We start from the raw sequence: 14804 nt of genomic DNA, 5'->3' as shown, positions 1-14804 counted from the left end.
AAAAGAAAAGAAAAAGTCAAGGCTGGGCACGGTGGCTCACGCCTGTAATCCCAGTACTTTGGGAGGCCGAGGCAGGCAGATCACGAGGTCAGGAGATCGAGACCATCCTGGCTAACACAGTGAAACCCCGTCTCTACTAAAAATACAAAAAATTAGCCGGGCGTGGTGGTGGGCGCCTGTTGTCCCAGCTACTTGGGAGGCTGAGGCAGGAGAATGGCGTGAACCCGGGAGGCGGAGCTTGCAGTGAGCCAAGATTGCGCCACTGCACTCTGGCCTGGGCAAAAGAGCGAGACTCCGCCTCAAAAAAAAAGAAAAAGAAAAAGATCCCATTCCCTGGCAAGCAGACTCAGAAAAAAAAGAAAAAAAGAAACAGATTCCAATATGATCTAGATATTAGAATAAACAAACAAAAAAGTTAAAGGAGCCATTCATTATAGAGATGTTTCACGATTCAGAGGAAAGTATAGTGAAGAGATGGGGAAATCTCAGCAGAGAAATGGAAACTATAAAAAATAACCAGGAGGAGGCCAGGTGCAGTGGCTCACACCTGTAATCCCAGCACTTTGGGAGGCTGAGGCAGGCGGATCACTAGGTCAGGAGATCAAGACCATCCTGGCTAACATAGTGAAACCCCGTCTCTACTAAAAATACAAAAAATTAGCCGGGCGCATGACGGGCACCTGTGGTCCCAGCTACTCGGGAGGCTGAGGCAGGAGAATGGCGTAAACCTGGGAGGCAGAGCTTGCAGTGAGCCGAGATCGCACCACTGCACTCCAGCCTGGGCAACAGAGCGAGACTCCATCTCAAAAATAAAATAAAATAAAATAAAATAAAAACCAGGTGAAAATTACAGAAATAAGAAATACAGTATCAGAAATAAAATATTCACTAAATGGGTTTAACAGCAGATTGAAGACAAAAGACAGAGTCAGTGAACTTGACGCTATGACAATAGAAACTATCAAAACTGAAATGGAGGAAAAAAGATTGGAAAAAGGTGGTCAGAGCTTTGGTAACCTGTAGAACGTCACATGGGGTAAACTATGTTGGTGGAGTTCCAGAACGAGAGGATTAAACAGAGAAACTATTAAAAGTAATTTAAAATTTCCCTAATACAGTAAAAGATGCAAGAAGCTGAGCAAACTCAAAACTAAAGCTAGGCATATCATCGTCATACAGCTGAATACTAAAATTAAAAAAAAAAAATCCTGAAAACAGCCAGAGAAATATAATTAATCATATATGAGGCAAGAACGATATGATTACTGTCGACTTTTCATCAGCAACACTGAAAGCCAGGAGACGATACAATGACATCTTTAAAAGACCAAAAAGAAAAAACTGTCAAACTGGCAAAATATATCATTCAAAAACAAGGCTGAAAGGCTGAAATAAAAACATTCAGATAAATGAAAGCTCAGAAAATTTTTCAACAGTAGACCTGTCATTTGGACCTACAGGAAGAAATGAAAACACCAAAAATGGTAAATAAATAGTTAAATGCTAAAAACTAGCTTTTTTCTACTTGATTTCCTTAAAAGACAAAAGACTCATATATATCTATATGTAGAGAGAGAGAGCTGTTTTTTTGTTTGCTTGTTTTTGTTTTTGTTTTTGAGACAGAGTTTTGCTCTTGTTACCCAGGCTAGAGTCCAATGGCATGATTTCGGCCATCGCAACCTCCACCTCCCGGGTTCAAGCGACTCTCCTGCCTCAGCCTCCCGAGTAGCTGGGATTACAGGCATGTGCCACCACGCCTGGCTAATTTTGTATTTTTAGTAGAGACAGGGTTCCTCCATGTTGGTCAGCCTGGTCTCGAACTCCCAACCTCAGGTGATCCGCCTGCCTCGGCCTCCCAAAGTGCTCGGATTACAGGCGTGAATCACCGCACCCGGCTGTTTATTTTTGTTTTTAAGGCCAGTAGAGTAGGATAAAAGAAATTTATCTGGGCCAGGTATGGTGGCTCAGCCTGCAATCCCTGCACTCTGGGAGGCTGAGGCGGCAGATTGCTTGAGCCCAGGAGTTTGAGACCAGCCTGGGCGACATGGCAAAACCCCATCTCTACAAAAAAATAGAAAAATTAGGTGGGCATAGTGACACATGCCTGTAGTTGGGCACTTGGGATGCTGAGATGGAAGGATTACTTGAGCTCAAGAGGCTGAAGCTGCAGGTAGCCACAATCACACTACTGCACTCCAGCCTGGGCAACAGAGAGTGAGACCCTATATCAAAAAAAAAAAAGAAAAAATTTGTCTGAACATGGGTCAGCTGGTGTTTAAAAAAAATTTTTAATATTAAAAAAGAAATCTGTAATCAGTTGTGATCATTTAGTTGTAAACACCAGTGCACTTGGACCAGCTGCCTCATTAAACTATTATAAAATAAGTTCACTGTAAGGTGAATTTAAAAATATATAGGGCTAAGTGCAGTGTCTCATGCCTGTAACGCCAGCACTTTGAGAGGCTGAAGCAGGAGGATTGCTTGAGCCTAGGAATTTGAGACAAACCTAGGCAACACAGTAAGACCTCTTCTCTACAAAAAATAAAAAATTTAGTCAAGCACAGTAGCGCACACCTGTGGTCCAGGAGGCTGAGGCAGGAGGATTGCTTGAGCCCAGGAGGTCATGGCGGCAGTGAGCTATGGTTGCACCGCTGCACTCCAGCCCGAGCAACAAAGACCCTGTCTCGAAAGAAAAAAAAAGAAAAGGAAAGGAAAAAGAGGCTGGGCTCGGTGGCTCATGCCTATAATCCCCGCACTTTGGGAGGCTGAGGTAGGCAGACCACTTGAAGTAAGGAAGTTTGAGACGAGCCTGGCCAACATAGCAAAACCCCATCTCTACTTAAAAAAAAAAAAAGGTGGGGGGGCCGGGCACGATGGCTCACGCCTGTAATTCCCAGCACTTTGGGAGGCCGAGGTGGGCAGATCACGAGGTCAAGAGATCAAGACCATCCTGGCTAACAGGGTGAAACCCCGTCTCTACTAAAAATACGAAAAATTAGCCAGGCGTGGTGGCGGGCGCCTGTAGTCCCAGCTACTCGGAAGGCTGAGGCAGGAGAATGGTGTGAACCCGGGAGGCGGAGCTTGCAGTGAGCCTAGACCGCGCCACTGCACTCCAGCCTGGGTGACAGAGCGAGACTCCATCTCAAAAAAAAGAAAATTAGCTGGGCGTGGTGGCACGCGCCTGTAATTCCAAGCTACTCAGGAGGCTGAAGCAGGAGAAGGGCTTGAACCTGGAAAGCAGAGGATGCAGTGAACTGAGATCGTGCCACTGCACTCCAGCCTGGATGACAGAGCGAGACTCTGTCTAAAAAAAAAGGGAAAAAAAAGTCAAAGCTGGCCATGTTATTTGGGGCTATGGAAAAAACAAACAAATAAAAGGCTGAGATTTTCAGGAGCTTCGTGGTTGGTGAATGCAACCACGTGCTGGGAGGTCAGTGCACCCCAACTCCTCCAGCAGAAGTGCCTGCATTCAAGACCCTTCCAGACCGTACTCTATGAATCTCTTCATCTGTATCCCTTATAATATCCTTTATAATAAACCAATAAACAGCTGGTTCAGTGTGCTGAACTTTGCTAGCAGCTGAGAAAGGAAGCTAGAAAGAGGCAAGCTCCTGATGCAAAGGTTGGCGTGCAGCATAATTTAGGCCTTAGAGAAGCTGGGGTTTTAACACTTCACAAGATGTGTTTTCTCAAAGCTGCCAGTTCTTTTAGAACTCATCAAATTAGGCTGCTCCAACCAGCTTTACAGGGAATGGATTTAAGGCAAATCTTGTGTTTAAAGAGATTTAGAGGAAGCCTGAAGAGGAAAGTGGACAGATTGTGAAGAAAATCCGTGGTATTTTTGCCTTTAAGGTGAAGAATGAATGGCCTAGGGGGTAAAGAAGCCACCTAGTGGTGGAGGTAAAGAACACAAAGGATCAGTGCTTTCTAACTCTAACTCAGATGAGAAAGCTGACCACACAATCACAAAGACTGACTAGGATTTACTGGCTTTAGTGATTGAAGTGGTAAAATGAATCCTCAGTTCTCCTTCTTTCAAGGCAAAGGGAAAATCACTGGCAATATGAAGTTACAAAGTTTTCAGCTTCAGCCGAGCAAAGGTAAGCTGCGAGGAACTCCCTTTGGCTACTTTTGAAAATCAAGATATCTCATCTCACAGATAGGAATTCATACAATTTCATTGTCAGAATTTAGGCTGAAACTACACATTGAAAAATAACATGAGATAGATTTGTTTTAAAAGGTGTGACCAATCCTGGTTTTCCTAACCTCTGGGTGAATACAGCCTGATAATGAACTACTGCTTTGCTGAACTGGAAACAACTGTGCATTACAAAGTTAATACGTTATTTATGGCCTGGAGTAAAACTGAGTTTCAGAATAAAATTAGGAACAGCAAAATACAAAAAAAGTACATAAACAAAAGCTCCCATTTTGCTTATGAAGTGCACTGAAGGGCCAGGCACAGTGGCTCATGCCTGTAATCCCAACACTTTGGGAGGGCAAGGCAAGAGGATCACTTGAGTCAAGGAGTTCGAAACCAACCTGGGCAACACAGTGAGACTTAGTCTCTACAAAAAAATTTTTTTAATTAGCTGGGCATAGTGGCATGTGCCTGTAGTCCCAGCTACCTAGGAAGCCGAGGTGGGAGGATCATTTGAGCCCAGCAGGTAAGAGGCTGCAGTGAGCCAGGACAGAGGCTGCAGTGAGCCGTAATCATGCCCATGTACTCCACACTGTGTAACAGAGCGAGGCTCTGTCTCAAAAAAAAAATTAAAATAAAGTACATTTAAGGATTATTCTGCTGAAGATGTAATTTAAGAGTTCCCTGGATGAACTAGAGAAGAAAAAGACTACCAATAGCTGGCAAGTAATTAGTGTTATGCATTTAATAACCTTAATCAGTAATAATTAATAATTCTTAAAATTTTATACTGGGGGCCAGGCATGGTGGCTCACGCCTGTAATCCCAGCACTTTGGGAGGCCAAGGAGGGTGGATCATATATTTTTTTTTTTTTCAGACAGAGTCTTGCTCTGTTGCCTACGCTGGAGTGCAGTGATGCAATTTCGGTTCACTGCAACCTCTCCCTCCCGGGTTCAAGCAATTCTCTTGCCTTAGCCTCCCGAGTAGCTAGGACTACAAGTGCCTGCCACCACACCTGGCTAATTTTTGTATTTTAATAGGATCGGGGTTTCATCATGTTGGCCAGGCTGGTCTTGGACTCCACACCTCAAGTGACCCACCCCCCTCAGCCTCCTAAAGTGCTAGGATTACAGGCGTGAGTCACCACGCCTGGCCAACCTCAGGAGTCAGAGACCCACCTGAGCAACCTGATGAAAACTCATCTGTACAAAAAAATACAAAAATTAGCTGGGCATAGTGGTGTTAGTGGTGTGCACCTATAGTCCCAACTTCTTGGGAGGCTAAGGCAGGGGATTGCTTGAGCCTGGGAGGTGGAGTTTGCAGTCAGCCAAGATCATGCCATTGCACTCCAGCCTGGACAACAGAGCAAGACTGTCTCAAAAAAAAAAAAAATCAAAATTTGTGGGACACAGCTCTAGTGATGCTTAAAAGGAAATGTACAGGCCAGGCACGGTGGCTCATGCCTGTAATCTTAGCACTTTGGGAGGCTGAGGCAGGAGGATCACGAGGTCAGGAGATCGAGACCACCCTGGCTAACATGGTGAAACCCCATCTCTACTAAAAATACAAAAAAATTAGCTGGGCATGGTGGTGGGCGCCTGTAGTCCCAGCTACTCGGGAGGCTGAGGCAGGAGAATGGCATGAACCCGGGAGGCGGAGCTTGCAGTGAGCCGAGATCCGCCACTGCACTCCAGCCTGGGCGACAGAGCAAGACTCTGTGTCAAAAAAAACGAAATGTATAGCTTTAAATGTCTACTTTAAAAAAGAAGGCTTTAAAATCAGTGCTCTAAGTTTTCATCTTAAGAAGCTAGAAAAGGGAATTGAACAATGAGAACACATGGACACAGGAAGGGGAACATCACACACCGGGGCCTGTTGTGGGGTGGGGGGAGGGCGGAGGGATAGCATTAGGAGATATACCTAATGTTAAATGACGAGTCAATGGGTGCAGCACACCAACATGGCACATGTACATATATGTAACAAATCTGCACGTTGTGCACATGTACCCTAAAACTTAAAGTATAATAAATAAATAAAGAAGCTAGAAAAACAAACACAAAGTAAATGGAAGGAAGTGCTAAACAGTAACAAAAAAAAATCAATAAAAACACACCAACAATTGGAAACCTAAAACTTACATTAAGAAGCCAGGCGCAGTGGCTCACGCCCATAATTCCAGCACTTTGGGAGGCCGAGGCAGGCGGATCACAAGGTCAGGAGATAGGATCATCCTGGCTAACACAGTGAAACTCCGTCTCAACTAAAAATACAAAAAATTAGCTGGGCGTGGTGGCGGGTGCCTGTAGTCCCAGCTACTCGGGAGGCTGAGGCAGGAGAAGGGCATGAACCCAGGAGGCGGAGCTTGCAGTGAGCCCAGATGTCACCACTGCACTCCAGCCTGGGCTACAGAACAAGACTCCATCTCAAAAAAAAAAAAAAAAAAAAAAAAAAAAAATTACATTAAGAAAAGTTGGTTCATTAAAAAGATGTTTAGATTAATAAACACTTAGCAAGATGAATTAAGAAAAAAAGAGGCTAGGACAAGTGGCTCACACCTGTCATTCCAGAACTTTGGGAGGCCAAAGCAGGCAGATCACTTGGGCACAGGAGTCCCAGACCAGCCTGAGCAACATGGCAAAAGCCAGTCTCTACAAAAAAATACGAAAAATTAGCCGGGCATTGTGGCACGTGCCCGTAGTCCCAACTACTCAGGAGGCTGAGGTGGGAGGATCACTCAAGCCCAGGAGGTGAGCCATGATAGCACCACTGCACTCCAGCTTGGGTGACAGAGTGAGACCCTGTCTCCAAAAAAAAAAAAAAAAAAAAAAAGAGAGAGAGAGAAAATACAAATTATCAATGAAAGAGTATATTTATAAAATAAACTCTTCCTCCAAAGAAAACTACAGGATCATATAGTTTCACAGGTAAATTCTATCAAATATTAAAGACAGAATAATACTGATCTTCAACAAATTATTTCAGAAAATAGAAGAGGGAACACTTTTCAGCTCAATTTCTGTAACCAGTATAAGCCTCATATCAAAATAGGACAGACTTTGTAAAAGAAAATTACAAATCAGTATCCCTTATGAACAAAGTAGCAAAAAAATCCTCAAGAAAATGTAGCAAAATAGAGCAACACAGAAAAAGAATACACTATGACCAAATGGAAGTTATACAGGAATACATTAGTCCAATATTTGAAAATCAAGGTAATGTAATTCAGTAGCTTTAAATACAGTCTATTCTCATTTTTGAGATGGAGTCTCACTCCCATTGCACAGACTGGAGTGCAGTGGTACAATCTCAGCTCACTGCAACCTCCACCTCCCGGGTTCAGGCGATTCTCCTTCCTCAGCCTCCCGAGTAGCTGGGATTACAGGCATGCGCCACCACGTCCGGCTAATTTTTGTATTTTTAGTAGAGACGGGGTTTCACCATGTTGGCCTGGCTGGTCTTGAACTCCTGACCTCAGGTGATCCACCTGCCTTGGCCTCCCAAAGTGCTGGGATTACAGGCGTGAGCCACCATGCCCAGCCTACTCTCACTTTTCTACACTTTACCCAACGACCTGCTAGAGCCATAGTAACCTTTCAGGAAAAGAATATACATGATTTTTGAGACAAATAGCCCAGTGACAAATTTATAATTAATTACACAGATCAGCAGAGCACTCCAATTCCAGAAAATCAATTTCTAGCCTTCACAGAATTTTAACATTTTGTTCTTTTATCAAAGATCAACATTAGAAAATGAACATGAAGAATATAAAGTTCCTCATCTCTTGCAGAAATAACAAGACTATTTCATTACACTGTACAATGCCCCTTATGTAATGTCCCCAGACAATCCATGCCTAATTTAGTTCTAGTGGAAAAAACATACCTTCCTAATGGTTCCTTTTATTAATGTAATGAACATGATAGGGATGAGAAATGAAGTAAAAAGCCCATGGTTGAGTAAAGATCTCACTATCAATTGAGAATGCATTATGGCAACATAGTGTGATGACACTCAAATGCACTTAAACCCAGAAAACTTGTATAAAGTTTCTCAAGCAAAGAAACTAAAAAACAGAGAAAGCTCATCCTCTTGGGCATATAATAGCTGTAACTGACATCACTGTTGTTATTAGTGCCACTGGTTGTCCCAAAGTTAAGGGGGCCTAGGAAAGCAACGGATCAGAAAATGAGAACTGTGTAAACTCAGATTTCTTCTCTTTAAGCTTTCCTAGGAAATTCTGAAATACATTTTGCATTGAAAAAGCTACCCTCAACCGGGCATGATGGCTCACGCCTGTAATTCCAGCACTTGGTGGGAGGCCAAGGTGGGTGAATCACCAGAGGTCAAGAGTTCAAGACCAGGCTGACGAACATGGTAAAACCCCCTCTCTACGAAAAATAAAAAATTAGCTGGGCGTGGTGGTGTGCGCCTGTAATCCTAGCTACTAGGGAGGCTGAGGCAGGAGAATCACTTGAATTTAGGAGGCAGAGGTTGCAGTGAGCCGATATCGCACCACTGCACTCCAGCCTGGGCAACAGAGCGAGACTCCATCTCAAAAAAAAAAAAAAAAAAAAAAGCTACCCTTAACCAAAGTACTCTGGTACATTTATCTTCTCTTTTCATTATGTAACTCTTCTTATATCTTAGTTGCAGTGCATTTTTATTGGTACTGCCTCAAATTCATTTTAGAAATGAAGAAGATATAAGAAAATATGAAACTAACATAAAGAAGATTATACCCATATCAGAACTGATAAATATTACTTTTCAATAAAGAGGGATAAATGTAACAAAACCATCATAACAGTTTAAAAAAAAAAAAAGGGCTGGGCACGGTGGCTCTAGCCTGTAATTCTAACACTTTGGGAGGCCAAGATGGGGGGATTAACCTGAGCTCAAGAGTTCGACAGCAGCCTGGGCAACATGGTAAAACCCCGTCTCTACTAAAACAGTAAAAAAATCAGCCGGGCGTGGTGGCAGGTGCCTGTAATACCAGCTATGTGACATGCTGAGGCATGAGAATTGCTTGAACCCGGAGGCAGAGGTTGCAGTGAGCCGAGACTGTGCCACTGCACTCCAGCCTGGGCAACAAAGTGAAACTCTGTCTCAATGAAAAAAAAAAAAAAGATGAACTAAGATTTAAACCAAAGGTAAGCGAATAATACTACTAACATTTGTAATGTTTGGTCTCTTTCCAATCAACAAATGTGATGGGTTTACTTTACCTTAATTTCTATCCTTGCTCTGTGAGGAAAAAGTTGTCCGATCATAGAAAAGTCAGTTCCTACCATGCTGATGGCTAAAAAAAACATATCTGTTTCTGTGAAAATAAAAGATTTAGAATGATTGAAAATTAATTATATCAATATTTCAGAGAAAAGAAATCTTACAGAATTTGACAGTACTTAATTTTACTAGAAAGATCCCCATGCAATACCTAAAAACACCTTATTATAAATAAAAACTTTTCAGTATAAGAAATCGTAGGCTGGGCATGGTGGCTCACACCTATAATCCCAGAACTTTGGGAGGCCAAGGCAGGCAGATCATTTGAGGACAAGAGTTAGAGACCAGGGCCGGTCGCGGTGGTTCACGCCTGTAATCCCAGCACTTTGGGAGGCTGAGGCGGGTGGGTCACCTAAGGTCAGGAGTTTGAGACCAGCCTGACCAACATGGAGAAACCCCGTCTCTACTAAAAATACAAAATTAGCTGGGCATGGTGGCACATGCCTGTAATCCCAGCTATGTGGGAGGCTGAGGCAGGAGAATCGCTTGAACCCGGGAAGCGGAGGTTGCAGTGAGCCGAGATCGTGCCATTGCACTCCAACCTGGGCAACAAAAGTGAAATTCCATCTCAAAAAAAAAAAAAAAAGAGTTTGAGACCAGCCGGGCCAACATGGTGAAACCCTGTCTCTGCTAAAAATAAAAAAAAAATGAGCTGGGCGTGGTGGCGTGCACCTGTAATCCCAGCTACTGGGGAGGCTGAGGCAGAAGAATAGCTTGAACCCGGGAGGCGGAGGTTACAGTGAGCTGAGATGGCGCCACTGCACTCCAGCCTGGGCGAAAGAGCGAGACTCCACCTCAAAAAAAAAGAAAAAGAAATCATACAAAAGCATCTGGAATTTTTTTTTTAAAACATTCATTCTGCCTAGCTGATCTTATTCAAAGTGCTCTGAAGAAAGCTATGAGTCATACTCAGGATAGGGTTACACTACATAGGCAACTAAGATGTGCTAAGTAGTATATAAAGAAAGTAGCTAGAAAAATACACAAGAGGCCACGCACGGTGGCTCACGCTTGTAAATACCAGCACTTTGGGAGGCCGAGGCGGGCAGATCACTTGAGGTCAGGAGTTCCAGACCATCCTGGCCAACATGGTGAAACCCCGTCTCTACTAAAAACACAAAAATTAGCTGGGCATGGTGACATATGCCTGTAATCCCAGCTACTCGGGAGACTGAGGAAGGAGAATCACCTGAACCTAGGAGGTGGCGGCTGCAGTGAGCCAAGATCGCACCACTGCACTCCAGCCTGGGTGACAGAGTGAGACTCGGTCTCAAAAAAAGAAACTACTAACAGAAGTTACACTTCAGGAGAATAGGAATAGGGAAGTGAAAGAAGGGAAGTATAGAATCTTTTTACTCTATATCCTGCTGTTTGAATTTTTCCTCAAAACTACTGTTTTTAAAATAAAAACAATAAGCACCAACATGCAACAGATTTTTAACAGCATATTTATCTATAGAAGCTTTATTATACAATATTATCTGAGGTAGAACATTATTCGCATTAGAAATATTGTATTGTTGGCTGGGCACAGTGGCTCACGCGTGTAATCCCAGCACTTTGGGAGGCTGAGGCAGGCGGATCACCTGAGGTCAGGAGTTCGAGACCAGCCTGGCCAACATGGTGAAACCCCATCTCTACCAAAAACACAAAAATTAGCTGGGCATGGTGGCAGGCGCCTGTAATCCCAGCTGCTCGGGAGGCTGAGGCAGGAGAATCGCTTGAACCCAGGAAGCAGAGGTTGCAGTGAGCCGAGATCGCGCCACCGCACTCCAGCCTAGGCGACAAGAGCGAAACTCCATCTCAAAAAAAAAAAAAAAAGGAAATATTGTATTGTTAATTTTTATTTAAATGGTATTTACTGTAGAGATTTGACAGAGAGGAACATTCCAGCCAAAACGACTATAAAGGTAATTCTTAAAAAATATTTCTTTCAGCAGAACAGTGACTGAAAGAAATTAAAAAAAAAAAAAAATTTCTGGGCTGGGCACAACGACTCACGCCTATAATCTCAACACTTCGGGAGGCAAAGGATCGCTTGAGCCTAGGCATTGGAGACCAGCCTGGGCAACATACTGAGACCTTATTTCTTCAAAAAATCCAAAACACAGGCCAGGTGCGGTGGCTCATGCCTGTAATCCCAGCACTTTGGGAGGCCAAGGTGAGCAGACCACCTGAGGTCAGGAGTTTGAGAGCAGCCTGGCCAACATGATAAAACCCCATCTCTACTAAAAATACAAAAATTAGCTGGGGGTGGTGGCAGATGCCTGTAATCCCAGCTACTTGGGAAGCTGAGGCAGGAGAATCGCTTGAACCCAGGAGGCAGAGGTTGCAGTGAGCCGAGATCGTGCCATTGTACTTCAGCCTGGGCAACAAGAGGGAAACTCCGTCTCAAAAAATAAAAAAATTTTTTTCAAAAAATTAGCTGGGTTTGGTGGCACACGCCTGTAGTGCCAGCTACTCTGGGAGGCTGAGGCAGGAAGATCACATGAGCCCAAGAGTTCAAGGCTGCAGTAAGCTAAGATAGTTTCACTGCACTCCAGCCTCGGCAATCAATCAAGACCCTATCTCTACTTTCTAATTTTTTTTCTTAATTTTTTTGTAGAGATGAGGTCTTGCTTTGTTGCCCAAGTTGGTCTCAAACTCCTGGCCTCAAGTGATCCTCCTGCCTCAACCTCCCAAAGTGCAGGGATTACAGGTGTAAGCCACTGCACCTGGCTGAGACCCAGTTGCTATAAAAAATAAAATTTTTTTGAAGATTTGTAAGACAAAGTCAGAGATACCATTCCATGGAGGGCATAAGATAGAGGTGTCAATAAAATTAGCTGGAATAAAATGGTAGTTTGCATTTTATGTACTTAGGGGAGAACTGATTTAATTCAGAAACAGTCAATTCATTTCAAATAGAGAACTTACACATTTTTAAATGAAAATTAGTTACCTTTATTTGACCATGGTTTAGAGTAATAGTTTTTCCTAAAGCTGGAGTATGTAGTTGTAGAACCGCGCTCAAATATGGGGTCATTTTCTTCAACAACACAAGGGCCTTTTGTTCTTAAAACTTCTACAGTTAAACTGAAATAAACACATTTTTAAATAGATGTATACTAAAAACAAGGAAACAAATAGCAAATGAGATGTAAATAGTTATATTTTGAGGTTTAGCATGGCAATCATATCAAAGGCATAATAATACCTATGTGAAATATGGGTATTTTCCAAGCATCTGCTAAGTTTTACCTACAATGTGATTCCAAGAGGGTAGAAAGAAATGTCAACTCATTTTCAAAATCCATAACAGCAATATAATATTTACAAAACATCTTTGGGCTACGTATTATAAAACGGTATTTGTATTATTGACTTGCACATGTCTTTGATATTCAATATGTATTACTGTGCTGGACTCCATGGAAATTTTGAAAAACACAAGCACTTTATATTTTACATTCCTGCAGAGAAAGCAGTTAAATATGCTCTAACTATTTAATGACCAGTAAAATCATCATCACAAACTAATGGAAAATAGCACACAAAAACAACTATTATTAGCAGTATTACATTTATGTTTAATTATAGAATGTGAATGCTATAAAATTATTTTTCACTGGCTAAACTTTCAAAGACCTTCCATTGCTTTATTTATTTACTTACTAATTTATCATCTTTTAAAAAAAAACCCTTAAGACAACTAAATTCCACAATGCCCAATGTGCAAAATTTAATGTTATAACTGAGAAATTAAACCAAAAGATGAATTATACCTCACCATAACAAAAATCATAAAATATGTTAAACCTACATTTCATTGTATATCCATTAGTTATCACCACACACCAGGATATGCTCTTAATAATATGAGAACTTGAATATTGACTTCAAGACTGTGTCAATCTTAGAAATTTATCCTCAGTGGAAGACAGCATATGATTAGTTCAACAGCCTGACTCAATGACCAGTAAAGATAATAAAACAATGGTGTTAGGTTAATAGATGATAGGGCATCTTCTCATACAAAATAGTTATAAAAATTACTAAAATTTACAAATTAATCTAACCCACTTTTCTATTTACAATATTCATTATGCAAATAAGAACGTCAAGGTCTAAGTGACAAAGGCCAATACAGAAAGAGGACCTCTTTCACTAGACAAAGCATGTTTGTTCTCATGTAACCACAATCTCACTTTTTCTCTTTTCTAAATACCTTTCTTCATCCAAAATAATGGAACCATCTTCTGCCACTTTTACTCGAGGAACCAGTAATGGCCCATCATCTGTCTCTTCTTCCATTTCATTATCTTCAGCATTAGGAGTACTCTTACCTTCTTGCCTACCACATATAAAGATAAGTTAATTCACAAAGGCATGAAAAGTGTGCCTAAATAGTATAAAACTTAAAATAAATGATTACAAACTCAACCTTCTAGCTATTTCCAACTTTCCCTATAATCCAAATGAAAACAGTATGTGTTATTAAGGACGCAATTAGAGGATTTTCTCAAGTTTTATCTCGAGACATTTAGTAAGAAGTCTTATTTTTTTTTTTAGATGGAGTTTCGCCCTGTCACCCAGGCTGGAGTGCAGTGGCATGATCTCGACTTACTGCAACCTCCGCCTCCTGGGTTCACACCATTCTACTGCCTCAGCCTCCCCAGTAGCTGGGATTACAGGCGCGCACCTCCACACCTAGCTAATTTTTGTATTTTTAGTAGAGACGGGTTTTCACGATGTTGGCCAGGCTGGTCTCAAACTCCTGACCTCGTGATCCACCCGCCTCAGCCTCCCAAAGTGCCGGGATTACAGGCGTGAGCCACCGTGCCTGGCCCAAGCAGTCTTTACTCTCTTTTAAAATAAAGAGAAACAGACAGGACATGGTGGTTCAGGCCTGTAATCCTAGCAATTTCAGAGGCCAAGGCAGGAAAATCACTCGAGGCCAGGAGTTGAGATCAGCCTGGGCAACATAGCAAGACCTTACCACTACAAAAAAAATTTAAAAATTAGCCCAGCATGGTGATGCGTGCCTATAGTCCCAGCTACTCAGGAGACTGAGGCAGGAGTATCTCTTGAGGCCAAGAGTTTAATCACACCACTGCACCCCAGCCTAGGTGACAGTGCAAGACCCTATCTGTAAAAATAATAATAATAATAATAATGCTTATAGTTATATAGCATTAGTTTCTAGATTATTTGATTAACTTTTCAGTACAATCCTTCAGGGTTAGTATTTTCATGCTCATTTGAGCCTTAAGGAAAATGGCCAAATGCAGCAGCTCATGCCTGTAATCCTAGTACTTTTGGAGGCTGAGGCGAGAGGATTACTTGAGCTTAGAAGTTCAAGACCACCAGCCTGGGCGACATAGTGAA

The 14804-nt window shown here is 42.2% G+C and overlaps 1 protein-coding gene and 1 pseudogene across 9 annotated transcripts in view; one reads left to right on the top strand and one right to left on the bottom strand.

The window, feature by feature from the left end:
* BDP1 (BDP1 general transcription factor IIIB subunit) overlaps positions 1-14804 on the bottom strand; it is a 122638-nt gene that overhangs the window by 98423 nt on the left and 9411 nt on the right. For all 9 annotated transcript variants that reach the window (XM_017009630.2, XM_047417372.1, XM_017009631.2 and 6 more), the window contains exons 5-7: positions 13645-13770; positions 12379-12512; positions 9377-9471 (exon numbers count right to left, since the gene is read on the bottom strand). In XM_017009630.2, the coding sequence (XP_016865119.1) occupies positions 9377-9471; positions 12379-12512; positions 13645-13770 (355 nt within the window). The remainder of the gene's footprint in view (positions 1-9376; positions 9472-12378; positions 12513-13644; positions 13771-14804) is intronic.
* LOC100419852 (sterol carrier protein 2 pseudogene) lies at positions 3597-4308 on the top strand (annotated as a pseudogene).

This window comes from Homo sapiens, chromosome 5 (genome assembly GCF_000001405.40).
Source record: "Homo sapiens chromosome 5, GRCh38.p14 Primary Assembly".
NCBI lineage: Eukaryota > Metazoa > Chordata > Mammalia > Primates > Hominidae > Homo > Homo sapiens.
Note: the sequence above shows the minus strand (reverse complement) of the source record. Positions and strands in the feature narration are given on the sequence as shown.